Source organism: Homo sapiens, chromosome 5, assembly GCF_000001405.40.
Source record: "Homo sapiens chromosome 5, GRCh38.p14 Primary Assembly".
Lineage (NCBI taxonomy): Eukaryota > Metazoa > Chordata > Mammalia > Primates > Hominidae > Homo > Homo sapiens.
In genome coordinates, this window is record NC_000005.10 from 65,772,848 (window position 1) to 65,793,775 (window position 20,928).

Consider the following 20,928-nt stretch of genomic DNA (forward strand, 5'->3'; position numbering starts at 1 on the left):
AGCCTCCCAAGTAGCTGGGACTACAGGCACACGCCACCAGACCCGGCTATACTCTGTTATCCTATTATAATTCCTTAGCAAATTCAAAGTTCCTAATTCTTTTTTGTTTTTTTTTTTTTTAAATGAGCAGGGTCTCACGCTGTCACCTTGGCCAGAATACAGTGGCACAGTCACAGCTCACTGCAGCCTGAACCACCTGGGCTCAAGTGATCCTCCCGCCTTGTCCTCCCAAACTGCTGGGATTACAGGCATAAGCCACCACACCCAGCCCTGAATTCTATTTTTTTTTTTTTTTTTTTTCTGCAACAGGTCCTCACTCTGTTGCCCAGGCTGGAGTGCAGTAGCTCAATCTTGGCTCACTGCAACCTCTGCCTCCTGGGCCCAAGCAATCCTCCCACCTCAGCCTCCCAGGTAGCTAAGACTACAAGCTTGCACCACCATCTCCAGCTAATTTTTGTGTTTTTTAGTTGTTGTAGAGATGAGGTTTCACCATGTTTCCCAGGCTGGTGAACTGAGCTCAATTGATCCACCCACCTCAGCTTCCCACAGTGTTGGGATTATAGGCGTGAGCCACTGTGCCCAGCCCTGAATTCATTTTTTAAATGATATTCAGAGAAATATACTATCTTAATCTCCATAGTTCTTTTAACGGCATTGTAATTTCTCCTTTGTATAATACAGAAAATCCCACTGGAATAATTTTTTATTTATAGATTTTAGAAACAGAAAATATAAAGTTCTTGTGAAGAAAAAGACAAAGTCATGAGACGGAAGGTGGGGAGGGTTTGGGGGAAATTAAGAAACTCAATATTTGGCCAGGCACAGTGGCTCATGTCTGTAATCCCAGCAGGTTGGGAAGCCGAGGCAGGTGGATCACTTGAGCTCAGGAGTTTTAGAACAGCCTGGGCAACATGATTAAACCCCTTCTCTACAAAATATACAAAAATTAGCCAGATGTGGTGGCATGTGCCTGTAATCCCAGCTACTTGGGAGGCTGAGGTGCGAAGATCTATTGAGCCTAGGAGTTCAAGGCTGCAATGAGCCATGATCACACCACTGTACTCCAGCCCAGGTGACAGAGTGAGACCCTGTCTCAAAAATAATAATAATAATCAACTCAATTTTTGTGATAAAATTTTAAAGAATGATTAAGGATGGTAATACAGTAGTATGGTACATTGGGAAAAACATTAAAATAGAATTCAAAGTTTTTTTTTTTTTTTTGCTGTTTTTAACCATTAGATAGCTATATGATCTTGGGAAAATCATTTAACCTCAGTTTTCTTGTCTGTAATATGAGTATATAATCATACTTGTGAGAGATGCAGACAGGGAGAGAGAATACACATTCATATTAAAACTCTTTGTTACAGGAGGAAGTTAGCGGAAAATTAAATCTTGTCACCACAGAGACTAAAATAAGGTTCCATACTGTCAGATCATATAAATTTAAAAATCACTTCTAAGAACTTTAGCCTTCTACTCTATAAGCAGAAAAACTTCACCTAAAGAGGCCCATGGCCTGGCTGAGATTCAAGGGGAGAAATTTTTGTTAGGAAGGAAGGTGCAATTACAGCAAGACAGTCTAGAAGTGTTGGCTGATTCCCTCTTAGAAAATCCTTGGGCAGTAATTCTGACCTTGCCTGGAGATTGTAAGAGAATATTACTATGATCAGCTCTGGGATAGGAATGTGCTTAAGTAGCACATTTTAGAAGTGCCTTACTCCTACCAAAGAACTCTGGGGATTTCCCAAGACCTGTGTCTGCCTAGCAAGGAGTGTCTGGTTATAATAGTCAGATTTCTGTTGTGTCATTTTTGTGGTAAGTTAAAGATTTCATTACAGTTAATTAGTCATACATATATAAATTATATATATATATATTTTTTTTTTTTTTTGAGACAGTTTTACTCCGTCACCTGGGCCAGAATGCAGTGGCACGATCTCAGCTGACTACAGCTTCCACTTCCCGGGTTCAAGTGATTCTTCTGCCTCAGCCTCCCAAGTAGCTGGAATTACACACACATGCCACCACACCCGGCTGATTTTTGTATTTTTAGTAGAGACGGGGTTTTGCTATGTTGGCCATGCTGGTCTCGAACCCCTCACCTCAAGTAATCCGTCCAATTCGGCCTCCCAATGCTGGGATTACAGGCATGAGCCACTACTCCCAGCCTAATTAGTCATATTTTAATTAGACCTAATTCCGGGCTGATTTTTCTCAGAATATCCTTCTACCTGTTTGCACCTGTGTCATTTATTTTGGGAATAAGTAGTTTTAACTTTAACATAGACTATGAGTTTTGAGTTCATATCCTGAATGTATTTTAGGCTTTCTGAAAGAGCAGCCCTGCTACATGCTGATATGGCAGATTGCAGTCTACCTAGTATGAGAGCCCATCCTCATTAAGCATAGCCATAGGGTAGGAATTCTGCATTCTTCAGCTATTGAGGCTTTGTCATGAGTCTGTGTCCTGAGCTCATGGCCAAATGTGGCCCAGGAACCCAGGTACACACACGGCTGTCCCCCTGTAGCCTTAGCTTCTCGCTGGCTCCTTTCCTTGCTGGGATGGCCTTCTGCTCTGGTCCTTAGCCTGCTCGCCTGGGTCCTTAACAACTTACCCAGCTCTTGCCAGGCCCTTCTCACCAGGGATTCCTCCCAAGTCCCCTGCACATAACTACAGCCTGGATTCTCCCCAGCTCTACAGCTTGCAGTATCACACTGTCTAGAGACTCCTGTTGCTGTGCTTCACACTACAGGACAGACTTCCTGGCGCTACTAAAGGCAGCCTAGATCAACCCAAGTTAATCACATCCGCAGGAACACTGTGATTGGAGCTGCTGGCCACCCCTGAGGGAACCAGCCCATAGCCCAGTTATCTCCCTGGCCATTGTGGGTTTCCTCCCTTTGCAGGCACCTGCTGCTAGCATCCCATTGTGCACTGATACTAGCTAGGGAGGGTTCCAACTCCAGTCATGCCAGCATGCACAAATTCTCCAGGGATACAAAGGGAGGTTGCTGTAGAAAAAGGAGCCTAACTATTTTCTGCCTCCACTGAGGATAACCTCAGAGTAAATATATGCACAACAAATGCCTTAGTACTGTAACATAAAATTATTTGTTGGCCAGGCATGGTCACTCAAACCTGCAATCCCAGCACTTTGGGAGGCCGAGGCAGGTGGATCACTTGAGGCCAGGAGTTTGAGACCATCCTGGCCAACATGGCAAAACCCCGTCTCTACTAAAAATGCAAAAATTAGCTGGACGTGGTGGCACATGCCTGTGATCCTAGCTACCTGGGAGGCCGAGGCATGAGAATTGCTTGAACCTGGGAGGCGGAGGTTGCAGTGAGCTGATAATCGCACCACTGCACTCCAGCCTGGGTGACAGAGCAAGACTGTCTCCAAAAAAATAAAATAATTTTTTAGCAGGCAAAGTGAGATACAGTTGGCTGTATTAAGTAGTATTTAGTTAAAATACAACTCTGTTACCTGCTGCAACAAAAGATATACAATTACAGAATTATTGCAGCACAGATCTAGCACCAACAATCTAAAATGCAGTCTCTAAGCTAAACACAGTCCTTTTACAGATTTAATTAGTTGGGAAATTAGGGATGCTCAGGGTTGAACAGCCTGGGTCTGTCATGGAGAGAATCTTTAACCAATAGAAGGCCTATAAGGCTTTAGAAACAAGTCCCTCATTGGCTTTCAACCAAACTGAATCCATTACACCTGCTGAATCTGTCCAGAGTCCATTTCTTCTTAGGAACCACTAACTACCCAGCCATCCAGATGTGCCATGTGTATTCTGCCACCTGCTTTAGAGAAACATCTGGTGTCTTTATTACCTTGCTGTGGCTAGGGGAGTTTTCCATTCCCCTCCATGGCCCTCTGTTCTTTTGAGTGAGTGTTGTTTGTGCTGCTGCATATAGATTCAAATTTACTGTCCAGCTTTCCTCCACTTTGTGCAGTGCTGACTCATTTTCCCCAGATACTTGTTCCTATGCGGCTTGCTGTAGTCCCTTGATCTCTCTTGGCAAATGACAGTAAGGCATTTTTGAAGTGTTGGAAGGCTTTTGCTCGGGCTTTATCCAGCTCTCCCCGTTTGGTATATTGGCAAAAGAGTCCCACTCTGCATTTGTGTAGAATTTACCCATTATTTCTATTCCTGCCTTTCAAGTAGGAACCAGGTTAGCAAATGATAGAAAATTAAATCCAGATGATTTGTGGTAAGAAATATGTTTTGTGAAAAAGACCACTCAGTCATAAAGAATGCTCAGAATTAGATTATGCAAATGCTCTGTTATCACACTTTCAAGTGGTACAGGCACTGCTGATTTTGATTCAAGGCAAGGAAATTCTAGTTAGCTTTTTATTTATTTAATGTTTCTGTTTTAAATGAGCAGGAGCTCACTAAAGTATAAAAGAAATTAGGTCTTCAATAGGGCCTGCCTCGTAATCACCTATGTGCTTCATAACCCAACGGAGATGATGAATAAATTTGCTGTGGCCTCATAGTTTATAATTTACCTGTGCACTGTTTCAACCGAAATGGTTTTCATGCTCTTTAATTTCAGGAAACCTGTGATCTGGGGAAGATAAAACCTGAGGCCAGACGATACTTGGAAAAGTCAATTAAAATGGGGAAAAGAAATGGGCTCCATCTTCCTGAACAAGTACAGAATGTGAGTTTATGTTTTCTTTTCTTATCAGAAAAAAAAAATGAATAAATAAAACAAAATACTGGTTGAACATCCCTAATCCAGAAATCCAAAATGCTCCACAGTCTGCAACTTTTGGGTGCCAACATGATGCTCAGAGGAAATGCTCATTGGAGCATTTCAGGTTTTGTGGGTTAGGCGTGCTCTACTGGTAATAATGGGAATATTCCAAACTCCAGAAAACTCCAAAATCTGAAACGTTTCAAGCCCCAAGCATTTCGGATAAGGGATACCCAATTTGTGCAACAAAAAACAGAAAATAGGGAAACAGATGGGTTGTAATAGAATAACCTGTAATACAATGTATTTTGTATTTAGTGGTTTTAAATTCTACAACTCCTGTTAACCTCATGGTGACAGACAAACAACTGATAACTTAAAATTGTTCTTTAACCTTGTACAAGTTTTATTTATTTCATGTGTGTTGAGCTTATTTTCCCTTCCCTGTTTTACATTCTTTAAGAGCTGTTCTCAGGTCTTAGTAGTTGATTTGTCTTTTCACTCCCTTGGTCATACAGAGATGGGGCACTGATTATAAAATCCTTACCGATGGAGAGTTTTAAAACCAGCACCTTGGAATGGAGTATCCTATGTTTAACACATGCCCCTTAAAAGATGAGAGATTAGCTGCTGAAAGATGCCTCTCAAACTTTTTCTTTTGTCTAATGCCAGTCAAGTCTTCCAGGTTCAAAAATAAACTTGGCTCCAGAATTAACCTTTTTCTTCTTGGAAAGGAAATATACTCCATGATTTATTTCCAGGTCATTCTTCTAGCCAGCAGGACTGGAAATAAGTTTGGAAGAAATCCAAATCAAGTGTTGTCAGCATGTTAGCTATAACCACAGGCACCACTGAGATATGGGTACCTTTCTCCCACGTAAAGCCCTTTGATCACCTTGTATCCTCTTCCTTCACTGAGTTAGAGGAGAAATGTGATTGATCTCACTTACCTGACCCTTTGTCTTCCTGGTCAATTCTTAATTCTGTTTGGAGCATGAACACTGTATTAGTTAAGATATGTTTGGTTGCAGCTAACAAAACCCTGTTTAAACGAGAGATTTATTTGCTTGTATAACTAGAAGGTCGAGGGGTCGGTGAGCTGCATGGGTTGGTTTGATCCTGATGCACAGTGGAGTCATTGGCCAACTGATTTTTCTATTTCTCTACTGTGTCTTCCTCAGTGTTAGTTTTATCTAAAGGGTGGCTTCCTTTCATTCCTAAAATGGCTATAAATCTAAAAACTCCACCATCCAGAAAGACATAGAGAAGCCACCAGTAAACCTCTCCTCATGTCTTAATGGCCCAGAGTGGATCCTGTGGTTAATCCTGAATTCCCTTTTAGTCAATGGAATACGAGGCCTGGGTTATCTGAACAGTCCTGAGGGCAATGGGGGTGGAAGGATGGCCCAACTGGTGTAGAAGTCACACACCTAGAGTTGCAGATAGGATCAGGTCCTATGTGAACTACATGGGCGCTGCAAAGTGGGGCAGAGGTAGAAAGGGGGTTGAGGGAGAGTATCGGAAAACACCACTGAACAGTGCGTTAGGTCAGTAGTCTCAAATTTAGTGTGCATCAAAATTACACGGAGGGCTTATTAAAACTCTGATTATAGGACTCGACTTTTAAGAGTTTGCACTTCAGTAGGTTTAGTGTGGGGGTCCCAAGAATTTGCGTTTCTAACAACTTCCCTGGTGATGCTGATGCTCCTAGCCAGGGCCACACTTTGAGAAGCAGTAAATTTCATTATGTAACATTGTTAGAAGAATGGGACAGATTAATAAAATTGTATCTTTTTTTTTTTCTGGTGGTTTCCTTCTTATTGCTTCATTTGATCTCCCACCTAATACTTTTTATGCAAATCTTAGAGTCTATAAATCATCTTTTTTTACAAAAGCTCTATAAAACTAAAACATCACCTTTTCCCCGAAGCAACAATAGAATGAATTATTCAGCTCTTATCTCTTGGTTTACTTCATAACCAGATGCTGATTACTGAATTAAAATTTTGAATTGGAAACAATTAGAAATTTGCTAATTGGTAATGCACTGCTAGATTTATTCATTCACTCAGAAACTATTTATTGTGTATGTACTATGTGCAATATATTGTGTTTACTGTACCTCCTAAATTTATTCTTCAAATTCACAACTAATTTCCAAGACACCACCAGGCTTGCCTTTCTATAAGTGCTACACACAGATACACGTGGACATGACATAGTGGACTGCAGAAACCTGTTTTATCAAGCACATCTCTACAGAAGTACTTCCTGGAGTTTGGGCACAGAAGTCAATCTTCATATGAAAGTGAAACTTACTCAATTGATGGTGATAAAAATGAGTTGTTTTTTTCAAACAATTCTCCTGCCTCAGCCTCCTGAGTAGCTGGGATTATAAGCACACACCACCACATCCAGCTAATTTTTGTATTTTTAGTAGAGACTGGCTTTCACCATGTTAGCCAGGCTGGTCTTGGACTCTTGACCTCAAATGATCCACCCACCTTAGCCTCCCAAATTGCTGGGATTACAGGTGTGGGCCACCGTGCCTGGCAAAAAATGAGTTTCTTTTTATTGCTAATGCCCTGTATTTTTATCTTCCTTTCAGGAAATCAAATCAATGAAGAAAAGAATGAGTGAGCTATGTATTGATTTTAACAAAAACCTCAATGAGGATGATACCTTCCTTGTATTTTCCAAGGCTGAACTTGGTAAGTTTTATTATTTTTCTAGATTAAATCATATAATTTAGGCAAATAGTGTTACCTCACAGTTTGTTTTACTTTCCAGATACAAAATTTCTAAATCATAGTTCAAATAATTATTTAAAAAATGATCCAGTACCTAAGTCCACCACCCCTTCTACAGAAGAGACAATCAAACCAACCAAAATTAGATTTTAGGCTAATGAGGGTATATAAAATTTCTAGAGACAGTCCAGAGGGGACTTAATAATCTTTTTTTTTTTTCATAATTTTTCTTGGTAGTTTATAGTTGTGTTTAACAGCCTTCAGTGCCTTAAAATTTTTTTTTGACTTGCATTGTTTCCTGCATTGTATCTTAAACTAGTCTCTTCTTACTCAGTCCTGGGTCTTTTTTCTTTTCTTTTCTTTTCTTTTTTTGAGACGGAGTCTCGCTCTGTTGCCAGGCTGGAGTGCGATGGCGCAATCTCGCCTCACTGCAACCTCCACCTCCCTGGTTCAAGCAATTCTCTTGCCTCAGCCTCCCAAGTAGCTGGGACTACAGGCATGTGCCACCACGCCCAGCTAATTTTTGTACTTTTAGTAGAGACGGGGTTTCACCATGTTGGCCAGAATGGTCTCGATTTCTTGACCTCATGATCCACCCACTTCAGCCTCCCAAAGTGCTGGGATTACACGCATGAGCCACTGTGCCCAGCTTTCCTGGGTCTTTCTTCACTTAATTTTGCCTGTTCTCCACTGAAACATCATTTGCACAAGTTTACTGAAACCTGTTCATATTTTGAATTGCCGTCTCCCAAGGCACCTGGCCTCTAACAGCCACCCCAATTCCAGCAACATCAAAATGATATTTAAAGGATTGTCATTATTTTACTTGAATTTCAATTACTACACAAAATTCCTAGAGCTACCAAAAGGCACCATGCCAATACTAAATAAACCAGCAATGAGTGGAAAATTTGATATATGAGAAAATGATTTTTTGCAGGTGCTCTTCCTGATGATTTCATTGACAGTTTAGAAAAGACAGATGATGACAAGTATAAAATTACCTTAAAATATCCACACTATTTCCCTGTCATGAAGAAATGTTGTATCCCTGAAACCAGAAGAAGGATGGAAATGGCTTTTAATACAAGGTGCAAAGAGGTATTATAAATGTTTGTCTTTCTTTTGTTTTTAATGGAATATTTTAAGAAAAGGGTTTACTTTGTTCACCAGTGTCAAAGTCAGCTCAGAGACTGATATTCCTGTGTGTGCACTGTATCTCTAATTCCTCAGACTTACAAGACTTTTAGCTTTTTCATTGCTCATTGACAACCTGCTTGGTGTGGTCACAGGATAAGCTGTTCTAATAAAAATAGAATGGATTAAATAAATTAGAATTCTGTTGCTCCTCTCCTAAATCAACAATCCAGCACTGGTAAGTCCTGCTTTAATATGAAAAAGAAAAAAGGAAGAAGTAGACAGGGATTCTCAGTCATCTAGCCAGTTCTACCGTGATCTGCCTCTCTAGCTATCCAAGTAACCATGAGGACCCTTTTTTCCTTACATAGGACCCATTCACCATTTGTTAATTCCCAGTTACTGCCTGAAGCTCAAAGACCAGGATCTCTGGGTGATACAGTTCTTCCTGGTTGTAGCTTCTCATAATCCAGCAAACTATAAAAGGAAGACAAGTTATCAGCTCCTCACCCCCACACCCTCCCCCAACACTCCCAGTGATGGCATAGGAAAAGAATAACCGCACTGAAAAGTCCCATTTGGAAAAAGAAAGACTGGGAAACATAGCAAGCTCATAGCAATTTTCTAAAATTTTCAAATTCCTCAGGAACTGGGAAGATTCTGTACTATGGTGACGTTTCTTGGTTAGCTTGTTGGACTAAACTTGGGTCTGCTTTCTCATAAGAATTCCTTTATCAATTTTACTCCATGGCCCCCAGTTTTGCCCACAGGGAATTGTTTTTGTCCATTATCCTTGATGACCATATCTTGGGGGACTGCTGGTCCTGCTAATGTCAGGTAGAATCCCAAGGGTTGCTTTAGGGATCAAATAATCCAAACTTTTGTAGGCCAGACTTACGATATCTTTGGTAATACAGCCTCCTCAAAAATGTAGGTTTGTTGTCTGTTTGCTGCTAATCAGATGCATGTCAAAATAACTATACCCAAATATCACTTTTGGTCATAGTTCTTAAACTTGCCAAATCTTATATACTGTCTTCTGAATTTATCCATCTCACTCTTCCTCCATTTAATGAAGTCTGCTTTCAGGCCCTCTGAACATAGTGAGCTTGTGGAGGAAGGCAGCATTCTCAAATTCATGTCTGCAGTTCAGTAACTCGGAGTGACAGCCTTTTCTCTTAACACTAGGAACACAGAGCAATTGGCTTTTCCAACCATCTGAAGATTGTAGGCCATAGGCAGAACCTCCCTGAGCAGAATTCTTTTCCTTCCATCTTTAGAAACTGGCCAATTCTCACCCAAGCTTATCTCTCCCATGTAATCTTTCAAAAAGCAACAAATGCCAAAAAAACACCTCCCAACAGTATTAGCTTTCCCAAACAATTCCTCTAGGCTAAGACTCAGTAGGTACATGGCCTGCTGTCTGAGTTATGGCAAGCAACAGTTTTCACAAATGCCCATGGTATAATGAGAACCTGCTTCCCAGCCTGCAATGTCTGGGTCCTTACCTTCCATTCCTGTACATTTTTCATTTTTATTGTTAGTACCACCCAATTTCTGGTATTAATCTCTACATATGTTAGGGTCCAGGCTAAGGGACTTGACAGAAGTCAAAAGCACAGTTAACTCAAATAAGATAAAAGTTTTATCTTTCCAGAAAGTAGATTAGAGGTTACCAGGGAATGGGGAGAGGGAAGACTGAGGAGTTAATGGTTACAGAGTTTCTGTTTGGGGTAATGGATAAGTTTTAGAAACAGATGATGGTAGTGGTTGCACAATAGAATGAGTATTATTGCCGTTGAATTTTACATGGCTAAAATGGCAGATTTTACCACAATTTTTTTTTAAAAGATTTGTCTTATAACTGTAAGTCAAGAGGTGAGTGGTCCAGAGGTGGAAGACAGCTCTACCATCCTCAGGGTGTGGCTTTCAGGGTCATTGAGGTCATCTTCAGTTCACAGCCAGCAAGGCAAAGATCTATCAGACATGACCCAGAAATTTCACTCATCACTTCATTCACATCCCATTGTCCCATTGAGTATCACATGGCCACAGCTGGCTTTGAGGAAGGCTGGGAAACGTAATTAGGTAACCAAGTGTCCGGCAAAAATTCAGAGTTCAGCCAGGCACAGTGGCTCACACTTGTAATCCCAACGCTTTGGGAGGCCAAGGCAAGAGGATTGCTTGAGGCCAGGAGTTCAAGACCAGCCTCAGCAATATGGCAAGACCTCACCTCTATGAAAATTAAAAAAAAAAAAAAAATTCAGAGTTATATTACTAAAAGAAAAAATGAGAGAACAGATATTGGGAGAAAATTGGCAGTCTAGAGAGAAGATCTGGAGAAACTGCAAAAAATGAAAGAAAAATCTAATTAAACTATTTAATTTTAGAACTTGGAGAATTACATTATGTATGTTTCTCTTCTATGTTTTCCATTTTAGTTTTAAAATAATAATAATTATAACAGATAATTATATAGTGTTTGGTTATGTGCCAGGCATTTGTCTAAGCACTTTACATATATTTTCATTTGAATCTTCATGATTACTCTCCAGTGTATGTATTTTTATTTTCCACATCTTGCAAATGAGAAAACTGAGGGTCAGAAAGCTCCAGAATTTGCCCAAGATCAGGTAACTAGTAAATGGTGGAACCAAATTTTGAATGCAGGTAGTGTGACCTCAGTGTGTGATTTTCCTTAGAAACCAGTCTATAAATAATTTGCTGATTTGATTATTGGAATCAGTTTTTTCTTTTACTTTAACATTTACTTACTTCCTCTAGGAGAATTACTTTTATTTCATTGCTAAGAAAATAATAAAATAATATCAATTTTTGTATTTTTAATACAAATAAAATATAAAAGATATTTGTAATGTTAATTTGGGAAAAATCCCTGAAACATTTTTAAAAGCAGAATTTTATGGTGCCTTAGTTCATTTGTGCTGCTATAACAAAATACCACAGACGAAGTAATTTATGAACAATAGAAATTTTTCACAGTTCTGAAGGCTGAGAAATTCAAGATCAAGGGGCATCGGCATTCAGTGTCTAGAAAGGGCCTTTTTTCTATATCCTCACATGGCAGAAGGGGGAAGGGCAGAAAAGGCCCAAGTTCTTTAGCTGTAGCCCTTTTATAAGGCACTAATTCATTGGTCAATTCCCAAAAGGCCCTGCCATTTAACACTACCTCAAAAGGGATTATGTTTCAACACATGAATTTTGGGGAACATTCAGACCATAGCATGTGGCATTAAGTATATTCACATTGAGAATATGTTTATATTTTTCTGCAGCCATCACCTGTATCCACCTGCAGAGTTTTTTCATCTTCCTTAACTGAAACTCTACCCATTAAGCATTAACTCCCCATTATCCCCTATCCCCAGGCCCTGGCAATTACTATTCTATTCTGTGTCTCTGTGAATTTCACTACTCTAGGAACTTCATATAAGTGGAATAATAAAATATTTGTCTTTTTGTATCTGGCTTATTTCACTTAGCATACCTTAAAGGGTCATCCATGTTGTAGCATGTGTCAGAATTTCCTTCCTTGTAAAGGCAGAGTTATATTCCATTGTATATATATACCACATTTTGTTTACCTGTATATCTGTCCATGGACACTTGGGTTGCTTCCATCTTTTGGCTGTTATAAATAATGCTGCTGTGGACATGGGTGTATAGATCTCTCTTCGAGTCTCTGCTTTCAATTATCTTTGTTATTTACTGAGATGTAGAATTGCTGGATCATATGGTATAATTTTTTTAGGAATCACCATACCGTTTTCTACAGCAGCTAAACTACTTTACATTCTCATCAGCAATGTGCAAGGGTTCCAATTTCTCCATTTCCTCACCAGCACATTTTCTATGTTTTTAAAAATAGTAGCCATACAACTGGGTATGAAATTAAAAAGATAAATTTTACGTTATGTGTATTTTACCACAATAAAAATGTCCAAAGGAACTGAAAGTACCAATATTTGGTGCAGTTCTGTCAGTAGAAGTAAATATGGATTCGCTATATTCCTTAAAAATATATTTTCACTCTAAGTTTGTAGCACCTACAATTTTATTAAGACCTCATAGTTCTGAAGTTTAAAAAGTCATAAATTGTTTCAGAAATAAAACGAAATCATGAATCCAAAAAAAAAAAAAAAAGCCTATAACACCAAAATGGAACCAGAAATTTAAATGGTCTAAAAATATTTGATAATTTTACAAACCTAAAAATACATACAGTAATTCTTCCTTTTAGTGCTTTGGATCAAATTATTGATTAGCCTTTATTTTGTTGCTGTTGTTTATTACTAGGAAAACACCATAATTTTGCAGCAGCTACTCCCACTGCGAACCAAGGTGGCCAAACTACTCGGTTATAGCACACATGCTGACTTCGTCCTTGAAATGAACACTGCAAAGAGCACAAGCCGCGTAACAGCCTTTCTAGGTTAGTTCTTTTTTTTTTTTCTATGACTGTTTTGCTATACCATGTCAACCAGACAGAAGGCCTCAGAACATAATATGCCTTTGAGGACATCCTACTTTTCCTTCATTTGAGAGAAGTATATTGATCACCTATTAAGTGTTAGATAGTGTGCTTGGTTGTAGGGACTGCTTATTGTTTATATTGCTAGTATAGGCCTGGCTTCACTGTATCTTATATCTTCTTTAGGCTTTTTATACTAATTCCTAACATGACATGTAGGTTCTAACAGAGAGTTACTAAAGTTACTGGCTTTATTCTCTTCACTAGGGATTTAGTAGTCATAGCATGGCTGCTTATGAATTTGTATAAAATAAGCTGACAAATATGACGTACATAAAAATAAAACATACATAAACAAAAAACATTTAATATTCCAGAAACCACTTGTTAATATACAAAACTAATATAAAATAATATACATAAAACTAGTATCTAATAACTAATATAAAATAATATGTATAAAAACTGTTATCTAGTAACTATAATGTTAAACTCCATAAATGGTACATATTTGTTTTTGTATAATTCACTCATTCATTCATGAGACGTTTATGAAATAACTATTCAGCCTTAGGCAGTATGCTAAATAGTAGGATTACAGAAAGGAGTAAAACAAGGTCCTTTTGGCTGGGCATGGCAGTTCATGCCTGTAATCCCAGCACTTCGGGAGGCCGAGGTGAGAGGACTACTTGAGACCCAGAGTCCAAGACCAGCTTGGGAAACAAAGAGACCCCAACCCTGTCTCTACAGAAAAATTTAAAAATTAGCCAGGCATGGTAGCACATGCCTGTAATTCTAGCTACTTGGGAGGCTGAGGTGGGAGGATCCCTTGAGCCCAGGAGTTCAAGGCTGCAGTGAGCCATGATCATGCCACTGTGCTCCAGCCTGGGTGACAGAGCAAAATCCTGTCTCTAAAAATAAAAATAATTTTTTAAAAAGAGACAAGGTCTTTTTCTCAATGGATTTGTCACTTACTAGAAACAACAGAAGTGTGAACAGGTAATTACTCTACAGTCTGATGCATGGTATACAAGAGGATGGCTCAGAGAGTTAACAGGTTTGTAAAGAATGTTTCCTTCAGTGGTGATTGCATACACTAAAATTTTCCTTAGTAACCACCTGATTAACTTAATTCATTTAAAGGAGTTTTCCTTCTAATTTGAGATTGGCATATTCCTATGCAAAGTGTCCTCTTGAGAGGCTAAAGTGCGAGGATCCCTTGAATCTGAGAGTTGGAGTCCAGCCTGGGCAACATAGCAAAACTCACTCACTCTCTCTCTCTCTCTTTATATATATATATATGTATGTGTGTGTGTGTGTGTGTGTATACATACATGCGCACACACAGACACATGCACGCACACATGCACATGGATATATATATGGAAAACTATATCTTTGTATCCTCCATGAGTTTCCTCACTTCTCTTCACGGTATTCCTCGGGCTGCTCCTCCATCTCTCACATTGTGAGGTTGCCTTCTGAACTGCCATGTCCTTTGCAGAGCCAGGCATGTTTTTATCGTAACGTATGTAACAAAATGTAAAAAATAAATACATAAGACCATACTCATTTATCCAAATACAGTAAAGTGAAAAATTGACCACAGCAATATAATTTGTGGTTCTCAGAAGTTTCTCCAGCTAAAAACTGGAATTGCTGTGTCCAGATAAACCTTCACAGAAATGGGGTAATGAGAAACTAAACCCAGTGATAGGAATTTCTAGATAACATTGACCACAGGTCACATCTGATGTGTTTTCCCTAGCTTTCTTAGGAGTCTGACTGTCTTCATTGAAGAATAATCATGTACATGACTTTAGTTTCACTAGTGCTTTTTTCCCTGAATAACATTCTTCAGTCAGCGTTCTCTGAGATAAACTTGAGCTTTGGTGATGAATTGAGGAACTCATGGCCCAGTTCTGGGGGTGTTAAAAGAAAAAGGGGCTAGGACCATAAAATCAATAACCCCGAAGAGCAAAGTGTGCTTCCATAATACAGCCTGCTTTCCTCCCTCACGTTTTTCCTCCTCCTTTACCTCTTTCCGCCTTATTTATCTGTATTGAGTACTGCAAAGGAGGAAGCACCATGCTAAAACACAGGTGGTATTTATGAGTATGCTTGCTTCCAAAAGCAAGTAGATCACTAACTTTTCCTTTTCCTTACAGATGATTTAAGCCAGAAGTTAAAACCCTTGGGTGAAGCAGAACGAGAGTTTATTTTGAATTTGAAGAAAAAGGAATGCAAAGACAGGGGTTTTGAATATGATGGGAAAATCAATGCCTGGGATCTATATTACTACATGACTCAGACAGAGGAACTCAAGTATTCCATAGACCAAGAGTTCCTCAAGGAATACTTCCCAATTGAGGTGGTCACTGAAGGCTTGCTGAACACCTACCAGGAGTTGTTGGGACTTTCATTTGAACAAATGACAGATGCTCATGTTTGGAACAAGAGTGTTACACTTTATACTGTGAAGGATAAAGCTACAGGAGAAGTATTGGGACAGTTCTATTTGGACCTCTATCCAAGGTACTGAGGATCACGTTGTTGGAAGGGACCTTAGGGATTCAGCTATGCCTACTTTAAGACTCTACTCTTGGCCAGGCACAGTGGCTCATGCCTGTAATCCCAACACTTTGGGAGGCCAAGGTGGGAGGATTGCTTGAGGCTAGGAGTTCGAGACCAGCCTGGGCAACATAGTGAGGCCCTGTCTCTACAAAAAATTTAAAAATTAGGTCAAGTGTGGTGGCTCATGCCTGTAGTCCCAGCACTTTGGGAGGCCGAGGCAGGTGGATTGCTTGAGTCTAGGACTTCAAGACCAGACTGGGCAACATGGCAAAACTCTGTTGCTACAAAAAATACAAAAATTAGCCAGGTGTAGTGGTACATGCCTATAGTCCCAGGTACTTGAGAGGCTGAGGTGGGAGGATCACTTGAGCCTCAGAGGTGGAGGCTGCAGTGAGCCAAGATTGCAACACTGCACTCCAGCCTGGGTGACAGAGTGAGACCCTGTCTCAAAAAAAAAAAAATGAAAAATTAGCCAGGTGTGGTGTGCACACCTGTAGTCCTAGCTGTGCTGAAGCAGGAGGATCACTTGAGTCCAGGAGTTTAAGGTTACAGTGAGCTATTATCACACTGCTGCATTCTAGCCTAGGTGACAGAGCTAGACCCTATCTCTAAAAAAATTAATTTAAAAAAAGACTCTACTCTTCCATATTTCTCACATGGGCTTCTTAGTATACAGATTTAAAATGTGGGTCTGAAGCCAGAATGTCTGGCATCATCATTTACTAGGTAGGTTACTTAATTTTTCTGTGCCCCAGTTTTCTTACCTATATTATAGGTCCTATAAACTGGGAATATTAGTAGTACCTGCTTTGTATGGTCACTGTAAGGATTAAATTGGTTGAATACATGCAAAGCATTTAGAAGACTGCTCAGCACATAGCAAAGGCTTAATCAGAGTTAGCTGCTACCATTGTCATTATCATCATCATCTAGTTTGTGCACTACATTTACTTAATTGAATATTGACCACCACCCAGACATGGTGGCTCACACCTGTAATCCCAGCATTTTGGAAGGCTGAGGTGGGCAGATCACTTGAGGTCGGGAGTTCAAGATCAGCCTGGCCAATATGGTGAAACCCTGTCTCTACTAAAAATACAAAAATTTAACAGGCATCTGTAGTCTCAGCTACTTGGGAGGCCAAGGTATGAGAATAGCTTGAACCCTGGAACTGAGATCACGCCACTATACTCCAGCCAGGGCGACAGAGCAAGATTCTAACTCAAAAAACATAAATAAATAAAATTGAGCACCAAAATATTTATTAGATAATCTGTCTGCCAATAATCTATGGCCACTCCCTTCAGTCTGGCTGAGAGGCAGCACAGTTTAGTAGAAGTAGCAAAACCTTTGCAGTCAGTCAGATTTGAGTTTGAATGCTTGAGTGACATAACCTCTTTGAGATTCTGTTTCTTCCTCTGTAATATGGGACTGGAAATCCTTTTACAGGATTGTTTTATGCATTAAAGACTATATGTGCAAATCATCTTCCCCAGATATCAGTGGTAACAATTATAAAAATGTTATAATTGTGTCTATAGCATGTAATAACTATAGATTCCATAGTGTTTCATCAGATACAAAAGGATTTGGATCTCTTTCTCCCCAGGCTACTTTCTAAAGCAAAGTCAACCTCTTACAATTACTAATCATTTAAATAGATCAAAGGAGAGTATAGTATCCCCCTCATTCAGTAATACACACAAGTTTGTAATCCACTGACTTTGAGTGCTGAAAAGTAGGTTGAGTAACTGTGTCATCTAGTTGGTGGGCAGAAGTGTCTTTTAGCACCTAAGTGATTATCCTGGTGTATTAGTCCTTTCTCACAGTGCTGTAAAGAACTGACTGAGACTGGGTAATTTATAAAGGAAAGAAGTTTAATTGACTTACAGTTCTGCAGGGCTGGGGAGACCTCAGGAAACTTACAATCATGGCAGAAGGGGAAACAAACACATCCTTCTTCACGTGGCGGCAGGAAGGGGAAGTGCCAAGCCAACAGGGGAAAGCCCCTTATGAAACCATCAGCTCTTGTGAGAACTCACTCACTATCATGAGACTGGCTACCCCATGAATCAATTACTTCCCACTGGGTCCCTCCCACGACACGTGGGGATTATGAGAACTACAATTCAAGATAAGCTTTGGGTGGAGACACAGCCAAATCACATCACCTGCTGCTTTATGGACTTACTTTCACTAATATTATGACCTAAAAGTAAAACCCTGCCAAATATAGATGAGTCTTATTTTTAAATAAAAAGTATCAGGATATAGTTTTAACCGAAGAACTCTTTCAGGAGTAATCCTTTAATATTGGAGTCTCCTATAACTGTCCTCAGATTTTCTTTCCAGCGTCAAATAACAATTCTTGCTACCTCATTCTGCTGTCTCACTGCCAGGATATAATTAATTTCTTTTGTACTGAGAGATCTGGTCATTGCTACCAGCACCCTGGTGTGGGTAACAGAGAGTAATCTTTGTGAAAGTAGTGACCTAGTTAATACTTACTTCCTGTCATCTTAAGATGTTCTCTTCATAAAGGTAAAAGGGATTAACTTGTTTTATTTGTCTAACTGACTTTTAAAAAGGGTATTCAGAATAGGTTTTAAAAAGACCAGGTACTGTCTGGGTGCAGTGGCTGTAATCCCAGCACTTTGGGAGGCTGAGGCAGGTGGATCACTTGAGGCCAGGAGTTCAAGACCAGCTTGGTCAACATGGTGAAACCCCATCTCTAGTAAAAATACAAAAATTAGGCTGTGCACAGTGACTCACACCTATAGTCCCAGCACTTTGGGAGGCCAAGGAGGGCAGATCACCTGAGGTCAGGAGTTTGAGACCAGCTTGGCCAACGTGGGAAAACCCCATCTCTACTAAAAATACAAAAATTAGCTGGGTGTGGTGGCAGGCACTTGTAGTCCCAGCTACTCTAGAGGCTGAGGCAGGAGAATCATTTGAACCCAGGAGGTGGACATTATAGTTAGCCAGTATCTTGCCACCGCACCCCAGCCTGGGCAACAGAGCAAGACTCCGTCTCAAAACAAGAGAACAAAATTAACCAGCGTGGTGTTGTATATATGTAATACCAGCTACTCAGGAGGCAGAGGCAGGAGAATTGCTTGAACCTGGGAGGCAGAGGTTGCAGTGAGCTGAGATCATGCCACTGCACTCCAGCCTGGATGACAGAGCAAGACTCTGTCTCAAAAAAAAAAAAATAAAAAGACCAGGTACTATTAGTCTTCTGAGCAAAAGAAAAGGGGGAAAGGACACGTACTCCCAAAATGAAGTCTGATAGCTTTTGGAGAATGAAGTCTAATAGCTTTTGGAAAGACCACACAGATACGACACTGTACAAGAATAGTCTAATTGATAGTATAATTTATGCATTTTCCCAGGCTAACTAAAAGCATTCTGTTTCAAAAAGGCCTGTCTAGTTTATAAAAGAAGCTTATTTAATTGTGATTACTGATTCTTTCCTCCTCAAATAAAAGGAAAAACCTTATCGTCAGAAATTCAGTTTTTTATTCCGATTTTAATGAAAAGGCTGCCTAGTGAGTCAAACTGTATCTTTTATTTCAAATGTGGGTTTCAGCATTGTTTAGTGTTTAGTAATCCCATCTTTGAAAAAGAAAAGTAGAACCTCATTAAAATAAATTGGACATTCAGCTGTCGGTGTGACATGCATTCTTCATTCTTACCTCGAGATTTTTCAATAAAAGAAACTTCGGAGCTCACACAGAATGTTAGTGGGGTTATTGTTTGTTTAGCTTTAGTTTTTCCATTTTAGCAAAATAACCTACTTTCTAAAAGGTAAATTAATGTTTAAAGGCATCTCTGGTAACAGATATGGCTTAATGACTGGAAGAGGCCATGCCAGTGTAGTTGCTAGAGGAGAATTTTCCTATGTTGCCAACGCGTGTTTCTGGCTCCTAGGGAAGGAAAATACAATCATGCGGCCTGCTTCGGTCTCCAGCCTGGCTGCCTTCTGCCTGATGGAAGCCGGATGATGGCAGTGGCTGCCCTCGTGGTGAACTTCTCACAGCCAGTGGCAGGTCGTCCCTCTCTCCTGAGACACGACGAGGTGAGGACTTACTTTCATGAGTTTGGTCACGTGATGCATCAGATTTGTGCACAGGTGAGTTTTTTTTTTCCCCCAGTAAACCTGCCAATTAGTTTTTTTAGAAAACTTCTTGACTGCTGTCAGGTTTCTGCTCCTAACAGGTTTTTTCAGAAGCTGAATGTGTTCAAGAATTTTATAGGCCTTCTGCAAAACCAAAATTTTCCTTATCCTGTCCTCTTTCACAACATATTTTTACTTGGAGGTTCATCTACCAGTGAAAGATGTTTGTTGAATAACAGCCTATGGAAAAAGAATAAGACTATCTGTAAGGAAAGGTTACAAATACTTTGCTTTTTCCTTTTAATCCTTTAGGAATTTGATATAAATTTCTCAGAAAAACTGTGCTGTAATCTGTCTCTTCTGCTTATCAATGCTTTGTTTACTTTAGTGGTTTTTCAATCCTCTTAGACCCTTTACTCATTTTTAAATAATAATTTTGTAACATTTGCCTTTACTAACTTCAAATTAAAATCATAGATAATATAGTCTAACCATGCAAAGAATTTGCCAGAGTGGAGGTGTATGTGTGCAGTAGATTAAAACTGATTTTTTTATTTCTGAAAATAAAAAGTACATTTATTCTCAACTTTGTAATACAGTCCATTTAATTAGGCCCAGACTATTCTAGCATGAACCATATGAACTTGCTAACATTTAACCATTATTAACATATGAAAATGTCTAGTTCAGCAATTCACCGTAATAGTTGAAATATACTGTTATTTGGCTGGGCATGGTGGCTCATGCCTGTAATCCCAGCACTTTGGGAGGCCAAGGTGGAAGGATCGCTTGAGTCTAGGAGTTTGAGAACAGCCTGGGCAACGTGGTAAAACAAACAAAAATTATCCAGGCATGGTGGTATGTGCCTGTGGTCCCAGCTACTCGGGAGGCTGAGGTGGGAGGATCACTTGAGTTCAGGAGGTTGAGGTTGTAGTGAGCCATGATTGTGCCACTGCACCACAGCCTGGGTGACAGAGCAGACCTTGACTTAAAAAAAAAAAAAAGAAAACCACCCAAAAAACTGATAGTAACAGAAATGAAGGTACAGTTTTCCAAATTTGAAATCTCTGTATGTCTCTAAAGGTAGACTTAAAAAACAACAACAACAAAAACAAAAACATTTTTATTAGGATAC

General features: G+C 39.7%; 1 protein-coding gene across 5 annotated transcripts in view; it reads left to right on the forward strand.

Moving 5' to 3' along the window:
- Positions 1 to 20,928, forward strand: part of NLN (neurolysin) — a 107,079-nt gene that overhangs the window by 50,643 nt on the left and 35,508 nt on the right. For 3 of the 5 annotated variants that reach the window (NM_020726.5, XM_047417444.1, XM_047417443.1), the window contains exons 4-9: positions 4,580 to 4,687; positions 7,332 to 7,434; positions 8,414 to 8,574; positions 12,928 to 13,063; positions 15,271 to 15,637; positions 19,607 to 19,808. In NM_020726.5, the coding sequence (NP_065777.1) occupies positions 4,580 to 4,687; positions 7,332 to 7,434; positions 8,414 to 8,574; positions 12,928 to 13,063; positions 15,271 to 15,637; positions 19,607 to 19,808 (1,077 nt within the window). The remainder of the gene's footprint in view (positions 1 to 4,579; positions 4,688 to 7,331; positions 7,435 to 8,413; positions 8,575 to 12,927; positions 13,064 to 15,270; positions 15,638 to 19,606; positions 19,809 to 20,928) is intronic. The other 2 variants (XM_005248559.4, XM_047417445.1) reach the window with 1 other exon arrangement.